Here is a 21,817-nt window from a genome sequence, read left to right as displayed (position 1 = left end):
AGGAAAACGTAAGGGGTATTTTCAAGCAATCTACAAACAATATGGTTAATAAGCAATAAAAATTATTGCTCATTAGTGACCTGATTAAAATGGTCACTATTTAAAATGATTAAAATGATTAAATCATTTAAAATGATTAAAATGGTGACATTAATAATGAGATTTAGTGGCCAGGCGCAGTGGCTCACACCTGTAATCCCAGCACTTTGGGAGGCCAAGGTGGATCACCTGAGGTCAGTAGTTCGAGACCAGCCTAGCCAACATGGTGAAACCCCATCTCAACTAAAAATACAAAATTAGCCGGGCATAGTGGTGCATGCCTATAGTCCCAGCTACTCGGAAGGCTGAGGCGGGAGAATTGCTTGGATCTGGAAGGTGGAAGTTGCAGTGAGACGAGATCGCGTCATTGCACTCCAGCCCGGGCAACAAGAGCAAAGCTCCATCTCAAAAAAAAAAAAAAAAAAAAAAAGAGAGAGATTTAAATGATTTTTTGCTTATCAGTCTAAAGAGAAAGATTTATCATAATTGGTGTTGATAAGGATGTAGGGAAGCAGATGTTGATAAAAGTGTAAACTGTGCAACCTTCCTAGAGGTCTTAAATGGAGACACGTTTTTACTTAGAGTTCCAACTTCTAGGAGTTCTTGACAGTAACTCTTTTATACACAAAGATTTATCTGTAAGGATACTATTCATTGTTGTTTGTTTGTTTTTTGTTTTTGTTTTTGTTTTTTTGAGACAGAGTCTCACTCTGTCGCCCAGGCTGGAGTGCAGTGGTGCGGACTCGGCTCATTGCAACCTCTCTGCCTCTTGGGTTCAAGCGATTCTCCTGTCTCAGCCTCCCCAGTAGCTGAGATTACAGACATGCACCACCACGCCCAGCTAGTTTTTTGTATTTTTAGTAGAGATGGGGTTTCACATCATGTTGGCCAGGCTGGTCTCGCATTTCTGATCTCAAGTGATCCACCCGCCTCAGCCTCCCAAAGTGCTGGGATTACAGGCATGAGCCACCATGCCCAGCCTATTAATTGTTGTTTGTAACAGCTAAAACCTAGCCACAGCCAAAGTTCAACAGTCAGCAGTTAGCTACGTAAACTCGGCATATTCACACACTGGAATACTATGTAACTAGTAAAAGCCATGAAATAGAAATATTAATGACATCACTGGCCAGGCACGGTGGCTCATCATGCCTGTAATTCAAGCACTTTAGGAGGCCGAGGAAGGTGGATCACTTGAGACCAGGAGTTCAAGATCAGCCTGGTCAACATGGTGAAACCCCATCTCTACAATTTAAAAAAAAAAAGTAATGAGAAATATTAATGACATCAGAAAATGTTCAACTCCATTAAGTGACAAATGCAGGTTATAACACTATATATAGCCTGACACCAATTTTGGTTTTTCTTCTTTTTATAACAAGTACTTTATTTTCTTCTTTGTGCTTTTCTAAATTTCCCAATGTACATGTATTACTTTTATAATAAAAATATGATAAAACTACTAATTAATACAAACCACAAAACTCCTGATTATTGTATTTTCATTTATAATATACAATTTTCCAATCAAATTTACACTTGTATATTCAGTTGAGTAGAAATATCTGGTTAAATACAGGTTTCAGATATATGTGTTCAACACAAAAAGGACACTGAGAAAAATTTATGATCATTTCAAGAGACCATTTAAAGCTAATAAGCACGGTTTGGAAATTTCTCACTGAAAAGCTGGAACTACATACCCCATTTAAGAAAAGACTTGAAGATCTATTATTCTAACCCATTGCTTGTTTTGCACCCTCTTTACAATATATCTAAATAAATTTATTTTCTGAATATTCAAATTTGACTATTTCTGCAATTTAAAGCATCAAAATGACCCTCCAAATAGTAAATATTATAAAACTGCTGATTATTACTTATCATGAGAAATAACTTAATGAAAACCTATTTACAAATTAACAGCCCATCCATCCAAAGATTATATGTATTTCAATATTATAATTTATAAGAACAAGATATCCAATCTGCTCAAAAAGAAAATACAATTAATTTAGCATATGGAAACCACTTGCTTTTGCCAATACAACAAAATATCTGTAAATTATGTAGTGCTCAATAAAGTGAATGTAAGTTTATAATTGAAACTTCATTCACACAAAAAAATGGTCTTTTACTAGCAAAACTGAATATTACAGCTTTTCAACTATATTCTAAATAAAAATAATTAAAAATCAATTCAAAAAATTCAGAATAAGTGCTTTATTTTTTTAAATCTCACAAAAACTGAAACTACCATTTACATCAGTTGTAATAGCAATAAAAATTAGAAATCAATTTGCTATAACTCTTGAAAACATTTATAAAAACAAAATTAAACAAAAAATAAACAAAAAGGTAAAACTAAGTATTCATTTTAAATTAAAGATAATCTGACTCCTTATGACATACCCACTTGCAGATGTATAAATAGCAGATGCATTCAAAACAGTGCAAGATTTAATTAATTTAGGACAATATTCCAATCAATCCCAATGCAGGTTTTAAATTACTCGTGCACGTTTATATAGAATCATAAAAATAAACCTCTAATATGTAATCAGCTTATAGCCAATTCAGAAAACTCCACACCAATACAACAACTGTGGAAATCATGAGATATGACTGGGGGGAGAAAAGCAAAACCTAGCATCAAAAGTGCATATACTCATTGTAACTACAATCTTACTATATATTCCTACTTTTGTTTTAAAAAAAGTTTTCTTTAAACTATATGTCTCAAAGGGATACTAAAGGTATAATTTCATATTCTTTTTTGAATTTAAAAAACATATACGTAATCCTCCTTTGTTTTGGTAAGTTCAAATATGAATTGACAGTGGGGTAATTGGATTGTGGATTCTTTAAGAAAGCTCTAAGAAGAGAATACAACATACTATATCTTCTTTAAGAAGTATGAGCTGAAATGTTAGGCATTCCTTGTATTGTTTTTTAAATATATTTAAGGAATGCTGTTTTTGTAAAACCATGGCTTTGAAAAAGAAATCTGAGATCAAAATACATTACTAGAAGATCTCTATAAAAGGTCACCAAGACTATCCTTGTTTGTGAAATCAGGGAAAACATTTTTAGAATTTATCTTGTTAGAAAAAATGCTACCACTTTTCTTTCTTTTTCTTCTTTCTTATTATCACAATTAAACACCAGAAGATTTTCCCCAAATAAATACTGATGTAAATGTTGACTTCAAGGACAAAGAACTTTCATAAGAGTCTATTTCTCAGGCATTTCACCATTTCTTGAGACCACAGGACACAGGCAGCACTGTTTAATGTGAATTGTCACTGGACTCCGGTGAAATATTCCTTCTGGGAGAGTTTATTGGTACCTGAAGCTCACTGGTAGATGTAGGTTTAGCAGCATTTGGTGGCTTTGTAGAGGAATTAGGTGGAAGTCTATGACGATTACTCTCCTCACCAGAAGTAGAGGAATGTCTTTTTCTTCCAAATTCATCACTAATAGGGGGCTGCAAATGATGAAAGGCAACACCGTTGACAATTTTACTGTTTTTCCTCCCTTCAGAATCTAAGGCTAGACTTTTCCCCAAAAAAGTAAGTTAAATGGACACTTCAGTATAATTTTTTTTTTTTTTTTTTTTTTTGATGGAGTCTCATTCTGTCACCCAGGCTGGAGTGCAGTGGCGCGATCTCGGGTCACTGCAAGCTCCGCCTCCCGGGTTCACGCCATTCTTCCGCCTCACAGATTGTATTAGTATAACAAAAACTTAACAGCAACTTAAGGTACTAAACTTAAATTTCCTTCCTAACTAAATCAGCCTACTAGTATTTGCTCATTCTTTTACTCAACATATGTTTGTGGTTTTTGTTTTTTGTTTTTGAGACGGAGTCTCACTCTGTAGCCCGAGTGTTTTTTTTGTTTGCTTGTTTTTTGTTTTTGTTTTGAGACAGAGTCTCACTCTGTAGCCCAAGCTGATGTGCAGTGGTGCCACATCGGCTCACTGGAATCTTTGCCTTTGGGGTTCAAGCGATTCTCCTGCCTCAGCCTCCCAAGTAGCTGGGAGTAGAGGCGCAAGCCACCACACCCAGTTAATTTTTTCGTATTTTTAGTAGAGACGGGGTTTCACCATGTTGCCCTGGGTGGTCTCAAACTCCTAAGCTCAGGCGATCCACCCGCCTCGGCCTCCCAAAGTGCTGAGATTACAGGCATGAGCCACCATGCCTGGCCTCAACACATGTTTACTAAGCTTCTCTCATTTTTTAGGGCCTGAGCTATCTGATGGGGCATAACTATAAGGCTGGGTTCCTTGGCTCCAAGAAAATGTTTCAGCGAGGCTATTTGCCTTCTTTATTAATTTCATCAACTGTAAAGGATTTGTATTTCCAGTCTCTTTCTCAATCCTAAACTCCTATTCCAGGCTTGCTTAAGTGAAAATGTTTAAATAACAGATAAATGAAAGCAGTAGGGGAATAAAAGAGATGCCAAGTTAAATTATCGTTAGCAAGTTTGAAGGTTTATCTAGAATTCCTATGATGAGACTGGAGAATATTATTGATGGCACCAAATTTAAACATCTTCAAACGTTTAAGTACCCAGTGAAAAGGTATCCTGCATTCAAAAAAAGTCAGCTTTTTATGCCTTTCCAGTTACCAAGATTTGGGAGCCCAGAACTGGACACCAATGAACTAGTATTTTTATGTGGAGCTAAACTAAGATAGTAACCTCCTCATCCAATCTTCCGTTGTACTTAAAGAAGGAGGCCTGAATTCTTAGCTTATGTTCAGATGGGGCAAGAGTCTCAAATATAGAGCAAGGATGTCTTTGTGACAGAACTGGCTAGGCCACTCTAGAAAAATAGCTCTTAATTCCAGAGACAGGCACTTTTATTAACCCTATCCCTGGGTCATCAAGTCCATTTACACAAAACTGCAAGACAAATTACAACACAAAGCAGAGATGATGAACCTAGCCTTCCTTTTACTTCTTTCCTATTTTTAAATTTAAAATTTTTCTTCTTCCCTTTTTTTTTTTTTTTTGAGACAGAGTCTCATTCTGTTGCCTAGGCTGGAGTGCAGTGGCACAATCTCTGCCCACTGCAACCTCCACCTCCCAGGTTCAAGCAATTCTTGTGCCTCAGCCTCCTGAGTAGCAGGGATTACACACGTGCACCATCACACCCAGCTAATTTTTGTATTTTTAGTAGAGACAGAGTTTTGCCATGTTGACCAGGCTGGTCTTGAACTCCTGGCATCAGGTGATCCACCCGCCTCGGCCTCCCAAAGTGCTGGAATTACAGGTGTGAGCCACCACACCCAGGCTTTTTCCTTTATTTTTTATTTATCTTCTTCCTCCTTTTCCTCTATCTTCTTACATTCGTGACATTTTTTAATGCTTTTCTTTTCCTCTTGAAATCAAATGGATAAAGCCTATATAAGTTCAACCTTCCACCAAAGGTGATGAGAAGAACGCATGAGAGTGGACATCGTTGTAAGATGGCAGCAAAAGGACCTTGTCTGGCTGACTCAACTAAAAGACACCACTCTTGTGCTTGCACACATGCACACAACATTCTCTCCTTAATTTTATTATGCAGGTACCCTAAATCCATATCAGCACATGTTACAGGAATTATATGGATAAAAGATCATTAAAAAGTGAAAAGTTTTCACATTGCTAGTGACAAATTAGCATATCAGGTAAAAATTAATAAATCTAGAAAATGTTTAATTATAGCAGCATATGAAAATTAAATTGAATTAACAATTGCACTGTGGTTATACAAGATGTTAACATTTGCGAAATCTGAGTGAACAGAGTATATGGGAATTCTCTGAACTATTTTTATATCTATTTCAAAGTTTAATTTTAAAACTAAAAAGTTAAAAAATAAAAATTACAAAATTAAAGCTTAAAAAGTCACTGATAAGAGACTGAAATATATGGATAATAAAAAGAATAGAGGAAATGACTTAAAACTTACATCAACACGGAAGTCTTCTAACCTCTTAAAACTACAGAGGTATTCCTGAAGTTTTGGGTCAATAGACTGTGTCTTAGATTGAGAATATTTCAAATAAGCCCAAAACTTTTCTAGTCCATACAGCTGACCTAATAACAAAGAATAATATACATTATGAATTATATGAAATTTTAAAAATTATTCACATTAAATATAATCCTATCAGCAATAAACAATTTATCTTCCAATATATGCTTACTCTAGATCTTGAGAATAAGACATGTAATGAATTAACCAATAATGGCAGCTAATATTTATTGAGCATTTGTTATGTAACAAGCATTAAGTGCTTTATTATGCATCAAACTAATTTGAACCATATACAACCCAAAAGATGGGTGTTCTCATATATGTTACAGATGAGAAAACTGAGGCTAGCAAGGGTAGGCAATTTACCCACAATCACATAGCTTCTAAATAGTGGAAAGGGAATTTGCACCTAGCAGTCTGTCCCAGAGCCTGCACTCTTAACCACTGTGCTATTTCTGCCTTTCCAAGCTTACCTGCTGATGTTGCATAGAATTTTCATGTAACGGAACATCAGTGAGTAGCCACGTTTGTCAAAGGGATAATGACAAAATATACCTCCATAAAAGAAAGACTTGAGAGTAGTTACTTTCCAACACCTCCCAGGAAAGGCCTTCTTACTACCTGGTGCCCCATCCTTCATCAAGAAACACAACAATAGCATGAAGATCTTAAATGGTTTGCCCTGAAGAAAAAAACTATGAACTCCTTCCCTATTTACTGACAGACTCAGGTTTACAATTTCCAATTAGAGTACAAGTTTTCTGATGTTATTGTTACCAGATTCGTAGTCTTTTTTGGTTTCTTCTTGGAAATCCTGAAAAATTTCTCGCCTGAATTTTTTTTCCAGTCCATAACTATAAAACCTGAACAGACATTCTAACCCATACCTATAAAGAGAAAATAAAAGGTTTATAATAAAATACAATATCTCTATAGTTAGTAACATCAATATAAGCAAACATGGCACAACTAATCCTAAACAAAAAATAAAATTTTAGCATTCAGATTTTTTAATTATTTTTGAGACAGAGTCTCACTCTTGTTGCTCAGGCTGGAGTGCAATGGTGCGACCTCGGCTCACTGCAACCTCCGCCTCCCTGGTTCAAGCTATTCTCCTGCCTCAGCCTCCCGAGTAGCTGGGATTACAGGTGCCCACCACCACATCCAGCTAATTTTTTGTATTTTTAGTAGAGACGGGGTTTCACCATGTTGGCCAGGCTGGTCTCAAACTCCTGGCCTCAGGGGATCCATCTGCCTCGGCCTCCCAAAGTGCTGGGATTACAGGTGTGAGTCACTGCGCCCGGCCGGTATGCAGATTTTTAACTGAACTGGTAATTAGTAATCTACAGCTGGCTTTGCTATTTTTGTTGACTCAGCCGTAGCACATCATGAAGGTATACTGAGAACCTGCTGCATGAAAGGCAGCCCTTGGACAGTTCAGTATGACCTCTTTAGATGCACACATTATCTCTCCCTGGTATTTCTGAAGAACTGGCCAAAAGATTTAGTGATAAATTGGGGATGTGTTAGATTTTCCCCAAACCAAAATTTATAATGGTATCTTTGTACACAGCATTAAATAAATACTCTTGAATGTAAGCTTTACTCTAGGAAGATAAAGACTGTACGGCTGTGCCCTAGATCCCAGGTGTGGCTGTCCCATTCAACTATAATGGTACAAACATAATTAAATGGTTAAGAGAGCCTCCCTGCTTTCATTATAAAGTACAATTAATAGTAGATATATTGCTAATAGAGCTATAATCACTACGTAAATGAGAAAACAAATTTCCTTGTTTCTGTCTATAACTATCTTGAGAATCTAGGAGTTCTGCTCAGTAGATCAGCAAACTATATAGGCTCAACCTTCAACCACAGGTGATGAGCAGAACCCATGAGAGTGAAACAAGGCTGTAAGATGGCAGCAAAAAGACCTTGTCTAGCTGACTCAACTAAAAGATACCACAATTAAAACACTCCTAAGTTAGAATCCTAAGTCATTCTGGGTACCTCAGCAGAAAGGTTACAACCTCTTCATTCTGCTAACATAATATTAACTGGCTGTCAGTCACAGGAAGCAGGGTATGTGATTGTGTGTCTCTTTTGCAACCAGCTTATTTACAAGACGAAGAGTGATGGTCTGGCAAGCCAACAAGAGAAATGCAGGACTGCCAACTACACACTTATACAGCAACCTGAGCCCTTGGCTCCCATAGCCTTAAGTGATGCTACTGGTTGAGCTTGCATGACTGAAGTCTAAGGAGATCAAAGACTAAAGGAACCACAGTTCAGAATGACAAACTTGCTTTGATGTTCCTCTTATGGGATCATATACCGACATCAGTTGTTCTCAATCTTAGCTACACATTATAATCATCTGGGGAGCTTTTAAAAATACTGATGCCCAGGCTCTGCTCCAAACCAATGGAATCAGGATCTTTTTTTTTAATTTTTAAAATTTTTGTGGGTACACAGTGGGTGCATATATTTATGGGGCACATGACATGTTTTGATACAGGCATGCAATGTGAGATAAGCATATCATTGGGAATGGAGTATCCATCCCCTCAAGCATTTATCCTTTGAGTTACAAACAATTCAATTATACTCTTTAAGCCATTTTATTTATTTATTTTTTAATTTTAATTTTTTTTTTTTTGAGACAGAGTTTTACTCTTGTTGCCCAGGATGGAGTGTAGTGGTGCGATCTCGGCTCACTGCAACCTCCACCTCCTGGGTTCAAGTGATTCTCCTGCCTCAGCCTCCCAAGTAGCTGGGATTACAGGCGCCTGCCACCACGTCTGGCTAATTTTTGTATTTTTAGTAGAGATGGGGTTTCACCATGTTGGCCAGGCTGGTCTTGAACTCCTAATGTCATGTGATCCACCTACCTCGGTCTCCCAAAGTGCTGGGATTACAGGCATGAGCCACCACGCCTGGCCTCTTTAAGCCATTTTAAAATGTACAATTAAGCTACCATTGACTATAGTCACCCTATTATGCTATCAAATAGTAGGTCTTACTCATTCTTTCCAACCATTTTTTTTTTTTGTACCCAAAACCAGAATCTTTGAGGTGAAGCCTCAGTATCTCTCTTTATTTCTGGAGAAGTAAGTTTTTGGTTTTTATCAAGTAAATCATATTTTAGAGGAATATAGAAATTCTTAGATTATTGATAAAGGATGACAATACAACATTTATATTGAATAGGCAATATTTGGATTTTTACTCTTATTTCTTAGCAAACTATTCCAAAGACCAAAAGTATGACATTAATAACACAACCCAAATACACAGCATAACTGCTGGAGTGAAGGACAAAGGCAAATGATCAGCCTTCTCAGTTGTCATTTACTCATTTACCACTAACTGCAAGACAGCTCAGAGGAGTAGAAAACCTAGAGGCTTAGAACCAGAAAGAACTATATTTGAATCATGGGCTTGTCATTATATCACTGAAAATTGAGTCAATTAGATCCTATTTTTCGAAAATAGATATTTGTAAACCCTCTAGACCAGAGCTAGCACATTGAAGAGATGTAAGCGATGTTAGCTCTCTCCCTCCTTCCTGTAATCACATTATTACTACTTTCAACCAATGGACAGAATTAGTAACAATTCCCTAATGACAATAATCATCTGGCCGGCCACAGTGGCTCACACCTGTAATCCTAGCACTTTGGGAGGCCGAGGTGGGTGGATCACTTGAGGTCAGGTGTTCAAGACCAGCCTGGCCAATATGGTAAAACCCCATTTCTACTAAAAATACAAAAATTAGCCGGGTGTGGTGGTGGGCACCTGTGATGCCAGCTACTTACGAGGCTGAGGCAGAAGAATTGCTTGAACCCAGGAGGCAGAGGTTGCAGTGAGCCGAGATCGCGACACTGCACTCCAGCCTAGGCAACAGTGTGACTTTGTCTCAAAGAAAAAAAGAAAGGAAGGGAGGGAGGGAGGAAAAAGAAAAGAAAAGAGGGAGGGAGGGAGGGAGGGAGGGAGAGAGGGAATCATTTGTCAAGCACTTACTATACATAAGTTAATGTGTTAAGCCCTTTAAATGCTTTGTGTAATCTTCACAATAACCCCATGAGAGAGTATCTATCACAATTTAACCTTTTTTTTTGTTGAGACAGAGTCTTGTTCAGTCACCCAGACTGAAGTGCAGTAGCACAACCTTGGCTCACTGCAACCTCCTCCTCCCAGGCTCAAGCAGTTCTCATGTTTCAGCCTCCCAAGCAGCTATAAGCGCAGGCCACCACGCCAAGCTAATTTTTGTATTTTTAGAAGAGACGGGGTTTTGCCATGTTGGCCAGGCTAGTCTCGAACTCCTGGCTTCAGTGATCTGCCTGCCTCGGCCTCCCAAAGTGCAGGGATTACAGGTGTGAGCCACCATGCCTGGCTTAACCTACTTTTTATAAAGAACCTAAAGCCTGGTGGGATTATAATCTGCCAAGGCCACAGTAAATTAATGGCTGCAACTCAAACATAGTCCTGATTTCAAGGACTTCAGGTGCTTAACCACTACTTCCTAAGAAGTAGCTAATACAGTCTAGTGGTAAATACTGCAGAAACAGAACCAAAGGTAGGAAACTGTGTTACAAAGGTATTAGAAACATACACAGAGGTATGTGTATAGGAACACAGAAGAGGAACTCCCAACCTAGACTTGGGTGGAAATGGAATCAGAGAAGTTATCAGAAAGTCTTAAGGAACAAACAGAAATTGCATAAATAGCAAAATAGTCTGAGATCAATTAAAACAATGGCTTTCAAACTTTTCTGACTAGGTCCAATACCATGAAAAATATTTTACCTTATAACTAAATCAATATGCATGTCTCTATATGTGTGTACATAAAAAGATATATGTTTTGCAAAACAGTTCTTAAATTTGTATGTATATGGGTATGAATTAAATTCATATGTATGAATTACTATGCTCAGTGCAGTCTGGTATTTTCTACTGTATTTTTTAAAGCATGTTAGAACCACTCAATTGATTTTACAATTGACGAATAGGTAGCAAACCACAGTTTGAATAAGAACAATGAGATTAGGAATGGCAAATTTTGCTTTTTATGCCAACTCTGGTAAACTGGCAGTAGCTATTAAAGTCATAAGGAAGAGTATAAATCTTAAAAGTGTGGTAAGAAAGAACATAAAACATAACTGGGATTGATTAGAGATATCAGTAATAGAGGAAAAAGAAATAGAAGTACACCTGCCATGGATCTGCTGTTCCTGATATAGATAACAGATAAAAATTAAACGGGCTTTGTTTTTACATAAGTCAACACAAAGAAATTTTTGTGATTTTAATCAGAAAAATGTATTTGTAGCACACCTTGTATTCTTCTCAAAGATCACAATATCTGGTAAACAATATATTCTTATTTGATATTTACAAGAGGAATCCATTTTCAGAACTTAAAGAAGGGTAAGTTTAGGTAAATATGATTGAATGAAAAATCATCTTTTTCCCTTCTCTCCATCTCTTGTTCCTTTCTCCTTTTCCCCATGAATAAATAGCCTTCATGAGTCCACGCCATGTTCCTTCTTACCCTCTTTGTCTGCCCTCACTCAGCCCTACAGGCACTCTCAAGACTTTCCATGAACATTTCTGAAGGAAGCAAGGTCTAAGCTGGGACAAAAAGAATAGGATTTAGAAAAGCACAGGGAGGACGAAGAGAAGTAGAAGCAAAGTTAAGAACATGCACAGATGTCCAGAGGCTAGAGAGCTTGGTTCATTTGAAGAATATGTAGTTCAGTATCACTGTTGCCCAGAGTACTACAGGACTAGCGGGGAAAAAATTAGACAAGGTGAGTCAAAGGACATATTGTGAGAGGCCTTGCTTTTTCTTTTCTCAAAGAATCTTAAGAACTGGGTTGGCTCTAAGCACATATCAATTGGGGTATGTATATGTACATGCAAGGGAAGTCTGTAATGGTGGGAGCATGGGAGAGAAAAGTTTTGTAATTTCATTCAGCCCTTCTGCCAGCCTCTAAGATGGTTCCTAATGATCCCATCTCTTGGTATTAACAACCTTGTGTAGTACCCTCCTATACTGTACCAGGACTGGTCTGTATGGACTATACAATATGGCAGAAATAATGGTATGCCACTTCCAAGTGCAGGTTGTATAAAATACTGAGGCTTCCATTTTGGAAGCTCTACTCATTCAGGGTGAAACCGTATTGTAAAATGCCCTAGGGAAGGTCAGTGTGGCAAGGAACTGAAGCCTCCTGCCAAGAGCCATGTGAATGAGCTTGAAAAAGATCCTCCAGCCCAGGCCAAGTCTTCAGAGACCACAGCCCACTTCAACATCTTGGCTGCAAGCTCATGAGAAACCATAAGCCAGAACCACCCAGCTAAGCAGTTTCTGGAGTCTCAACTCTTTGAAGCTGTGAACTAACAAATGTTTATTGTTTTAACCTATGGAGTTTTGGGGTAATTTGCAATGCAGAAATAGAAAACTAATACAGGTCTCCCTCTAGTTATATTGTGCTACTTTCACGGTTCAAAATCAGGCTACTTCAGTACTAGTTTTAAAAATTATTTTCTAAAAACTCCCTCTATCGGATCTACCTGGGTAAAGAAAAAAAGAAGAAGAAAATAATAAAACTCCCTTGAAGTGTAAAAGAAAATATCTGACCTGTAATTTTCTTTTGCATCTTCCCAAGCAAGTTGTCTAAATTCCTCATACATTTTTTTATTGAAGTGATCTCTGAGGAAAAAGGACCAGAAACGAAAGAGGGTATTCATTTCTTGGGACTGACCAATTCCCAAGCGTTTTCTCTCTGAAAAAAGTTAAATAAAATATTATTTTATTAAACATACTTTTTAAAGACAAGACAGCAGATGTTATATATAAAATGAAGAAAGCTCAACCATATTAATCCTCAAAGTGTATTTAGGTTTCTTCTAAATAGAGTGGGGATCTCCAACCTCCAGGCCACAGACTGGTACCCTACTGTGAACTGCACATGTGAGGGATCTAGACTGGACACTCCTTAAGAGAATCTAATGCCTGATGATCTGAGGTGGAACAGTTTTATCCAAAACCATCCCCCATGGAAAAATTGTCTTCCATGAAACAGGTCCCTGGTGCCAAAAAGATTGAGGACTGCTGAAACAGCTGACAAATGCTAACCCATTTTTTGACTCACTGCTTAAATTATAAATATCTCTCAATAGCAACAAGAAGAGTATAATAAATTTTTTTTTCTTTTTTTGAGACAGAGTCTCACTCTGTTGCCCAGGCTGGAGTGCAATGGCACGATTTTGGCTCACTGCAACCTCTGCCTCCCAGGTCCCAGCAATTCTCCTGCCTCAATCTCCTGGGTAGCTGGGATTACAGGCGCCTGCCATCACACCCAGCTAACTTTTGTATTTTTAGTACAGATGGAGTTTCACTATGTTGGCCAGGCTGGTCTCATACTCCTGACCTCAAGTGATCTGCATGCCTCGGCCTCCCAAAGTGCTGAGATTACTGGCATGAGCCACCATGCTCAGCCGAGTATATTAATTTTTATTTCCTAATGTGTCTAAGTTATAAAGTACATGAATAAAGAATATATGTAAACATGTTTAAAGTAAAACTATGTATAGTCTAACAATAAAAGAATATCTTAACCTGATATTAAATGACAACATTTAAATTTTTTAGAATTATATTTTAATTTTAAATATATTAGATAGATAAAGGACAAGCATCTTACCACTTAGGCATCTTCGACGATACTTGTGGTACACTTGTTGGGTAAAGCCATTTTCCTTCAAAAGTTCATGAGAAGGATGCTGGAACTTTGGGAATGAATGAGGAGTACATCCATAACTTCCTGCTAGTGGTGCGCCTTCTGAAGGTGAAGCATTTGAAGTGCTGTTTGAGAAAGGGGAAAAAAGCCTTCAAAATGAAAAATCAAGAACCAAGTATATGAACCAATTTGTACTATTTTTTTCATTATTGGGGGTCTAAGCAGTGGAAAAGACAGTAGTCCCTAAAACTCTCCTAAATTAATGACATACAGATCTGCATATAGTGCTATTTATGTTCAATACACATATGTAAATTCAGAAGCTGATAAAAAGCATGGTCATAAACTCTCAAGCTAACACAGTTTAAGCAGAAGCAGATAACTGAATAGCTCATTCCTCCTCCAAATCATTATTAATTTCATTTAGATTAGTTTTTTATTATGTGGAAACTTTCAACTTATCTTGAATAATTTAGGTTAGTGATGTAAATTGAATACATGGAGATTAGGGATAAAATCTGGCACAAAGATGGGCAATAATTTCATTATCTCAAAGACATACCTGCAATTTTCTTTTTTTCTAAAGGCATCAAAAGTAAGACAGAACCTGCAATTCTCTAAATCAATTCCACTTTTGATCTATCTCCTAAATCTGTCTTTTCCTTCTCATCTGCACTCAAATTCAAATATAGACCTAAATTCAAATTTAGACCTTCCTCTTCTTTCACTTGAATTAACCAGTCTCTCTTCTTTCACTTGAATTAACCAGTCTCTTTGTTTTTCCAAGTGTCCCTTCTCTATCCTGCCACCAAAGTTATCTTCCTAAAACATTTATCTAAATCAGTGGTTCTCAAAGTGGTCTGTGGACTGTTGGAAGGTTCCTAAGAACCTTCTAGAAAGTCTACAAAGTCAAAACTGATTTCATAATAAGAAGACATTGTTGGCCCTTGCCTCTATGTTGACCTTTCTACTGATGGTACAAAAGCAATGGTGTGTAAAACTGATGTGAATTGAGGCAGTGGCACCAAACTTTACTTACTTGTGACTGCATCCTTCATTGTTATGCACTTGCAATTAGAAAAAATAAAACAATTCCAGTTTCAACTTAAAAATATCCTTGATAAAGCCAAAAAATTATAAAATCTCACTCATGAGTACATATCTTTTTGTGTGTGACAAACATGAAATGGAAGCTTGTTTTGCAAGATGAAAATGTTCTGGAGATCTGTTTCACAACAATGTGAATATACTGAACACTACTGAGTTGTACACTTAAGAACTGTTAAGATGGTAAATTTCATGTTATACATTTTTTTACAATTTTTTAAAAATGAGAAGAAAACACAAAGCATTTTTGCAGCATATTAAACTACAATGGGGCTGGGTGTGGTGGGTTCACGCCTGTAATCCCAGCACTTTGGGAGGCCGAGGTTGGCGGATCACCTGAGGTCAGGAGTTCGAGACCAGCCTGGCCAACATGGTGAAACCCTGTCTCTATAAAAAATACAAAAATTAGCTGGACGTGGTGGCATGTACCTGTAATCCCAGCTACTCGGGAGGCTGAGGCAGGAAAATCACTTGAACCCGGGCAGCGGAGGTTGCAGTGAGCAGAGATCATGCCATTGCACTCCAGCCTAGGTGATGAGCAAAACTCCATCTCAAAAAAAAAAAAAAAAAAAAAAAGCTACAATCGTTTTCTTAAAGCAAAGCACTTGTGTGATTAAGTTATAAGGCAAACTAGCAACTTTTTTCATGTTTAACTAAAAGAACAACCCACAAACTATGGTTACTCAGACTTTATTATTTCTCAGATATTTCCTTGAAAATGAAAAAAAATAGGTTTTTTTTCTTTCTTTGTTTTTCTTTTTTTTGAGACAGAGTGTCGCTCTGTTGCCAGGCTGGAGTGCAGTGGCGCCATCTCGGCTCACTGCAACCTCCACCTCCTGGGTTCAAGCGATTCTCCTGCCTCAGCCTCCTGAGTAGCTGGGACTACAGGCACCTGCCACCACACCCAACTAATTTTTGTATTTTTAGTAGAGATGGGGTTTCACCATGTTGGCCAGGATGGTCTCAATCTCTTGACCTCGTGATCTGCCCGCCTCGGCCTCCCAAAGTGCTGGGATTACAGGCGTAAGCTACTGCGCCCAGCTGATAAAAAAATGAGTTTTTAATGTCAAGGAAAACAACTGTTTTTTCCAATGATAAAATTTGAGCTTTCAAGCAAAAATGAAAATTTTGGAAATCTTGTATTTGTCACTAAGAGCCTGACAGTTACAACCAATACTTAAAGACTTTTCTAATGAAATAAAAAAGAATTTTAGGAGTTTTTGTGTGTACATGTGTGGTAAAAATATACCTAACATAATATATATCATTTTAAACACTATTCATAAGTGTATAATTAATAGGCATTAAATATAATCACAATATTCTGTAATCATCACCACTATCTAGACTCAAAATTTTTTCATCATCTCCATCAAAAACTGTACCTGTTAAATAAAAACTACCCCTCTACCCCTCCCTACAGCCCTAGTAACCTCTATTCTACTTTCTGTCTATAAATTTGACTATTCTAGGTACTCCATATAAGTGGGATCGTATAATATTTATCCTTCTGTGTCAACCTTGTTTCATTAAGCATAATGTTTTCAAAGCTCATCCATGTAGCAGCATAAATCAAAATTTCATTCCTTTTTGTGGTTGAATATTTATATTCCATTGTATGTGTTTATCTAATCATTTGTTGTTGGATACTTGCTTATCCAGTCTTTTGTTGAGAATCCCACTTTTTGGCTATCATGAATAATGCTGCTACAAACATGGGCATACAATATGTGTTTTCAATACTTTTGATATATAACTAAGAGTGGTATAGCTGGTAGAGGTTGCAGTGAGCCGAGATTGCACCACTGCACTCCAGCCTGGGCGACAGAGTGAGACTCCGTGTCCGAAAAAAAAAAACAGAAAACAAAAATTCCTTCAATTTTTTTGAAAGAATTTGAGAAGGATTGGTGTTAATTCTTTTTTACTTTTTATTTTTTTGAGACAGGGTCTTGCTCTGTCGCCCAGACTGGAGTGCAGTGGCATGGTCATGGCTCACTGCAGCTTCAACCTCCTGGGTTCAGGCAATCCTCCCACCTCAGCCTCCCAAGTAGCTAAGACTACAGGCAAGTACCACTATGCCTGGCTAATTTTTTGGATTTTTAGTAGAGACGTGGTCTCACCGTGTTGCGCAGGCTGGGTGTTAATTTTTGGGTTTTTTTTTTTCCCTTTTCTTTTTCTTTCTTTCTTTCTTTTTTTTTTTTTTTTTTTGACAGACTCTCACTCTGTCGCCCAGGCTGAAGTGTAGTGACATGATCTCGGCTCACTGTGACATCCGCTTCCCGGGCTCAAGTGATTTTCCTGCCTCAGCCTCCTGAGTAGCTGGGACTACAGGCGCCCACCACCATGCCCAGCTAATTTTTGTATTTTTAGTAGAGACAGGGTTTCACCATATTGGCAAGCTGGTCTCGAACTCCTGACCTTGTGATCCACCTGCCTCAGCCTCACAAAGTGCTGGGATTACAGGCATGAGCCACCACGCCCAGCCCACAGTATTCTCATATCCTTTTTATCTCTGTAAGGTCAACCAGTAGTAATATCCCATTTGTTTGTTTGTTTTTCTGATTCTAGTTATTTGCATCTTCTCTCTTTCTTTGTCAGTCTAGCTAAAGTTTCGTCAATTTTGTTGATCTCTTCAAAGAATCAACTTTTAGTTTCCTTGATTTTCTCTACTATTTTGGGTTTAGTTTGCTCTTCTTTTTCTAGTTCCTTAAAGTATAAAGCTAGGTTGCCGATTTCAGATCTTTTTTCTTTTTTAAATGTAGGCATTTACAGCTATAAACTTCCCTGTCTCTATATGGAATCAGTAGTTTCATTCATGTAGTTATTTATTGACTGCAAAGTATGACAGGTACTGAGAAGTTCTTTACATTAAAGAACTTATTGTCTAAAGAAGACATAGAGAAACAATGCATGTAAAATGTTGAGCACAGTGCCTGGAACATTTATTGAAAGCATATAAAAGTGGTAGCTATCATTAAATAAATTCTCCACAATGAATAAATATACCTTACTGGCATACTTATCACAGGGAGCCAGAAGGAAGCAAAGAGGTAGATCAAAATGAAGACTAACAAATAGAAATTTGAAAACAGTTTTCAAAAGATGGAACAATGAGAGATAAAGAATTCCTCAATCAAAAGGAAAGAACGAAGATAAAATTAATATCGAATACTTAGATTAGTAAAAGAAATGCAGATAACATCGAAGCTCTAACTATAATTACAGCACATGAATCTATATTACTATCAATAAGCCTAGGACTTACTTTAGCAACATTCAGTAGACTAGGAGCAAATATAATAGAAAGCTGGATTTATTCAGACTGGGATTTGGCAAGATTTCAACAACAAAAAAAAGTCTAGAAGTAATAATCTAGAATTCAATCAAAATGTATAAGACACACAAAAAGAAAAAATAAAATTCAGGAGACAATGAATAGAACCAGACTTACAGATAACTCAGTACTAGCATAATCACAAATGAACTTTAAAATAACCATGATTAATATGTTGAAGACTCTAATGTAAAAGATGAACATTCATGAAGAGATGGAGAATTTCAGCAGAAAAAAAGAAAACTTTTTTTTTTTTGCGATGGAGTCTCACTCAGTTGCCCAGGTTGGAGTGCAGTGGCCCCATCCCAGCTCACTGCAATTTCCACCTCCTAGGTTCAAGCGATTCTCCTGCCTCAGCCTCCTAAGTAGTTGGGATTACCAGTGAGCGCCACCACATCCAGCCAAGAAAACTTTTTTTTTTTTTTTTTTTTTTTTTTTTTGAGACAGAGTCTTGCTCTGTCGCCCAGGCTGGAGTGCAGTGGCGAGATCTTGGCTCACTGCAAGCTCCGCCTCCCGGGTTCACGCCATTCTCCTGCCTCAGCCTCCCGAGTAGCTGGGACTACAGGCGCCCGCCACCATGCCCGGCTAATTTTTGTGTATTTTTAGCAGAGACGGGGTTTCACCGTGTTAGCCAGGATGGTCTCAATCTCCTGACCTCGTGATCCGCCCGCCTCGGCCTCCCAAAGTGCTGGGATTACAGGCGTGAGCCACTGCGACCAGCCAAGAAAACTATTTTTAAAAAGTCAAATGGGGCCGGGCGCGGTAACTCACACTTGTAATCCCAGCATTTTCGGAGGCCGAGGTGGGCGGATCACCTGACATCAGGGGTCCAAGGCTAGCCTGGCCAACACGGTGAAACCCTGTCTCTATTAAAATACAAAAATTAGCCGGGTGTGGTAGCGGGCACCTGTAATCCCAGCTACTTAGGAGGCTGAGGCAGAAGAATCGCTTGAACCCAGGAGGTGGAGGTTGCAGTGAGCTGAGATCGTGCCATTGCACTCCAGCCTGGGCGACATGAGTGAAACTGCATCTCAATAAATAAATAGTCAAACAGTAATGCAAAATATACACAACACAATATCAGAAATGAATACTTCTTTGATGGACTTCTTAGCACACTAGAACAGCTAAGGAAAGAATCAGGAAACCTGAATATAAATCAATCAAAATTACACAAAGTGAAATACAATTTAAAAGGAGTAAGAGGCCAAGCGCAGTGGCTCACGCCTGTAATCCCAGCACTTTGGAAGGCCAAGGCAGGCGGATCTCCTGAGGTCAGGAATTCACGACTAACTTGACCAACATGGTGAAACCCTGTCTCTACCAAAAATACAAAAAATTAGCTGGGCGTGGTGGCTTGCACCTGTAATTCCAGCTACTCAGGAGGCTGAGGCAGGAGAATCGTTTGAACCCAGGAGGCAGGGGTTGCAGTGAGCCAAGATCACTCCATTGCACTCCAACCTGGGCAACGAGAGCGAAACTCTGTCTCAAAAATAAAAATAAAAATAAAAAAATAAAATAAAAAAGGAGTAGGAGAAAAAGCAGATCAGAGCATCCAACAGCTATGGGTATTATCAAATGGTCTAACATATATGTAATTTGAAACCCAGAAGAAGGAAAAAAAGAAAACAGGGCAAAAAAATTTATGATGAGTCAAAAATTATTCTAACAATTTAAAAAGCCATAAATCTGAAACCATCAGAGAACCAGAGCAGGATACTTTATAGGTGTGTGTATGTGTTTGTGTGTGGGTGTATTAATAACAGGCAAATATCTATTACGAACCTACTAAAGAAATCTCCCAGATTCTCAATGGCATTTAGAAAGTTTTTAATAGATATATATGAAGGATTTAATGTGCTAAACTATCTACTCAAACTATATGTGTGTATGTGTGTATGCACATGTGCACATATATGTATGTGTATATACATGTACACATAACTGTCTAAAGAAAAATAATAACAAAGTATAGCACAAAGAATGGGGGACTGGGTGTGGTGACTCATAACGGTAATCCCAACACCTTGGGAGGCTAAGGCAGGAGAATTGCTTGAGCCCAGGAGTTCAAGACCAGCCTGAATTACATAGCAAGATCTTGTCGCAACAAAAATTTTTTTAAAAATTAGCCAGCTATTGTGGTGCACACCTGTAGTCCCAGATACTTGAGGTTAAGGTGGGAGGACTGCTTAAGTTCAGGAGTTTGAGACTGCAGTAACCTGAGATTTTGCCACTGCACTCTATCCTGGGTGAAAGATCGAGACTCTGTCTCTAATTTAAAAAAAAAAAACAAAGAAACAAACAGAGAAATGGGGAGAAATAATGAAAATTTAATGTTGTAAGGTGCTTATACTACACATGAAGTGGGATAAGATTATTTGAAAGTAGACTGTGGTACGTTAAAATGTATAAAGCTGGTCCTCAACTTAAAAGATGGTTTCACTTACGGTTTTTCAGGTTTATGATGGTACAAAAGCAATATGCATTCAGTAAAAACCATAGCTCAAGTACCATACAACCATTCTGTTCTTCAGTTTCAGCAAAGCATTCAATAAATTACATAAGATATTCAACATTTTATTATAAAATAGGCTTTGTGCTAGATTTTGCCCAACTATAGGTTAATATAAGTGTTCTGAGCACATTTAAGGTAAGCTAGGCTGAGCCATGATGTTCAGTAGGTTAGGTGTATTAAATGCATTTTCAACTTATGATATTTTCAAGCTACAAAGGGTTCATCAGGATGTAACCACATCATAATTCAAGGAACAGCTGAATTATATGGGCATATCTCAGAGATATTGCTGGTTCAATTCTAGACCACCACAAAACAGCACATATTGCAAAAAAGCAAGTCACATGAATATTTTGGCTTCCCAGTAAATATAAAAGTTATATTTACATTATACTGTACTCTACCAAGTGTGCAATAGCATTATGACTTAAAAAAAGTACATACCTTAATTTAAAAATACTTTATTGAGACAATGATGTCACCAAAATGGCAGAGTAGAAGCAATCTGGCTTCACTCTCCCACAGAAAGCCAAAAACAAATATCTAGCACAAAGCTTATCATCAGCAATATCCCAGAACTCAAATCTGAGGCTGATAGTACCCGTGAGCCACAGAGAACTGAAAAACTCCAAGCAAACAGTAAGAGAAATAGCCTTCTCTTTGCATGATGCCTTTTCTGCAATCTGCCAGGCCCTGTGCATGAAAAATTCCTCCCAGACTCAGCTTCTTCATTGGAAAAAGTTAGATGGAGGAGGACAGCCAGCTTTCCCACCATCTTGGGTTCCCTTGCAGGAAAACTGTTCCTGCCTCAACCCATAAGAAGTATAATATCATGAGGGCTAGCAGGGAGAAAAAAAAATCATGAAGGCAGAAAAAGAGGGGAAGCAGGAACAGAAACCCTAGCCCTGAAATTCTCCTCTTTATTTCAGCCAAAAGAGATGCCATATCAGAGTGGCTGTTCAGCAGGACCACACTGTAGGAGGTATGATCCATGAGTTTTCTGGGTACAAACCGTTTGCCAGCCTTACCACACAGTTGGGGTA

At 37.9% G+C, this 21,817-nt stretch overlaps 1 protein-coding gene across 36 annotated transcripts in view; it reads right to left on the bottom strand.

Moving 5' to 3' along the window:
- Window positions 1-21,817, bottom strand: part of LARP1B (La ribonucleoprotein 1B) — a 162,138-nt gene that overhangs the window by 9,545 nt on the left and 130,776 nt on the right. For 31 of the 36 annotated variants that reach the window (XM_017008340.2, XM_047415872.1, NM_001410786.1 and 28 more), the window contains 5 exons: window positions 13,783-13,943; window positions 12,717-12,861; window positions 6,845-6,954; window positions 5,999-6,126; window positions 1,394-3,526 (listed from right to left, as the gene is read on the bottom strand). In XM_017008340.2, the coding sequence (XP_016863829.1) occupies window positions 3,329-3,526; window positions 5,999-6,126; window positions 6,845-6,954; window positions 12,717-12,861; window positions 13,783-13,943 (742 nt within the window). In that variant the 3' untranslated portion in view covers window positions 1,394-3,328. Of the gene's footprint in view, window positions 1-1,393; window positions 3,527-5,998; window positions 6,127-6,844; window positions 6,955-12,716; window positions 12,862-13,782; window positions 13,944-21,817 lie in introns of those variants that run through there. The other 5 variants (XR_938753.3, XM_011532057.3, XR_938754.3 and 2 more) reach the window with 4 other exon arrangements.

The sequence above is a fragment of the Homo sapiens genome, chromosome 4, assembly GCF_000001405.40.
Source record: "Homo sapiens chromosome 4, GRCh38.p14 Primary Assembly".
Taxonomy (NCBI): domain Eukaryota; kingdom Metazoa; phylum Chordata; class Mammalia; order Primates; family Hominidae; genus Homo; species Homo sapiens.
This window is presented reverse-complemented; position numbering and strand designations above follow the sequence as displayed.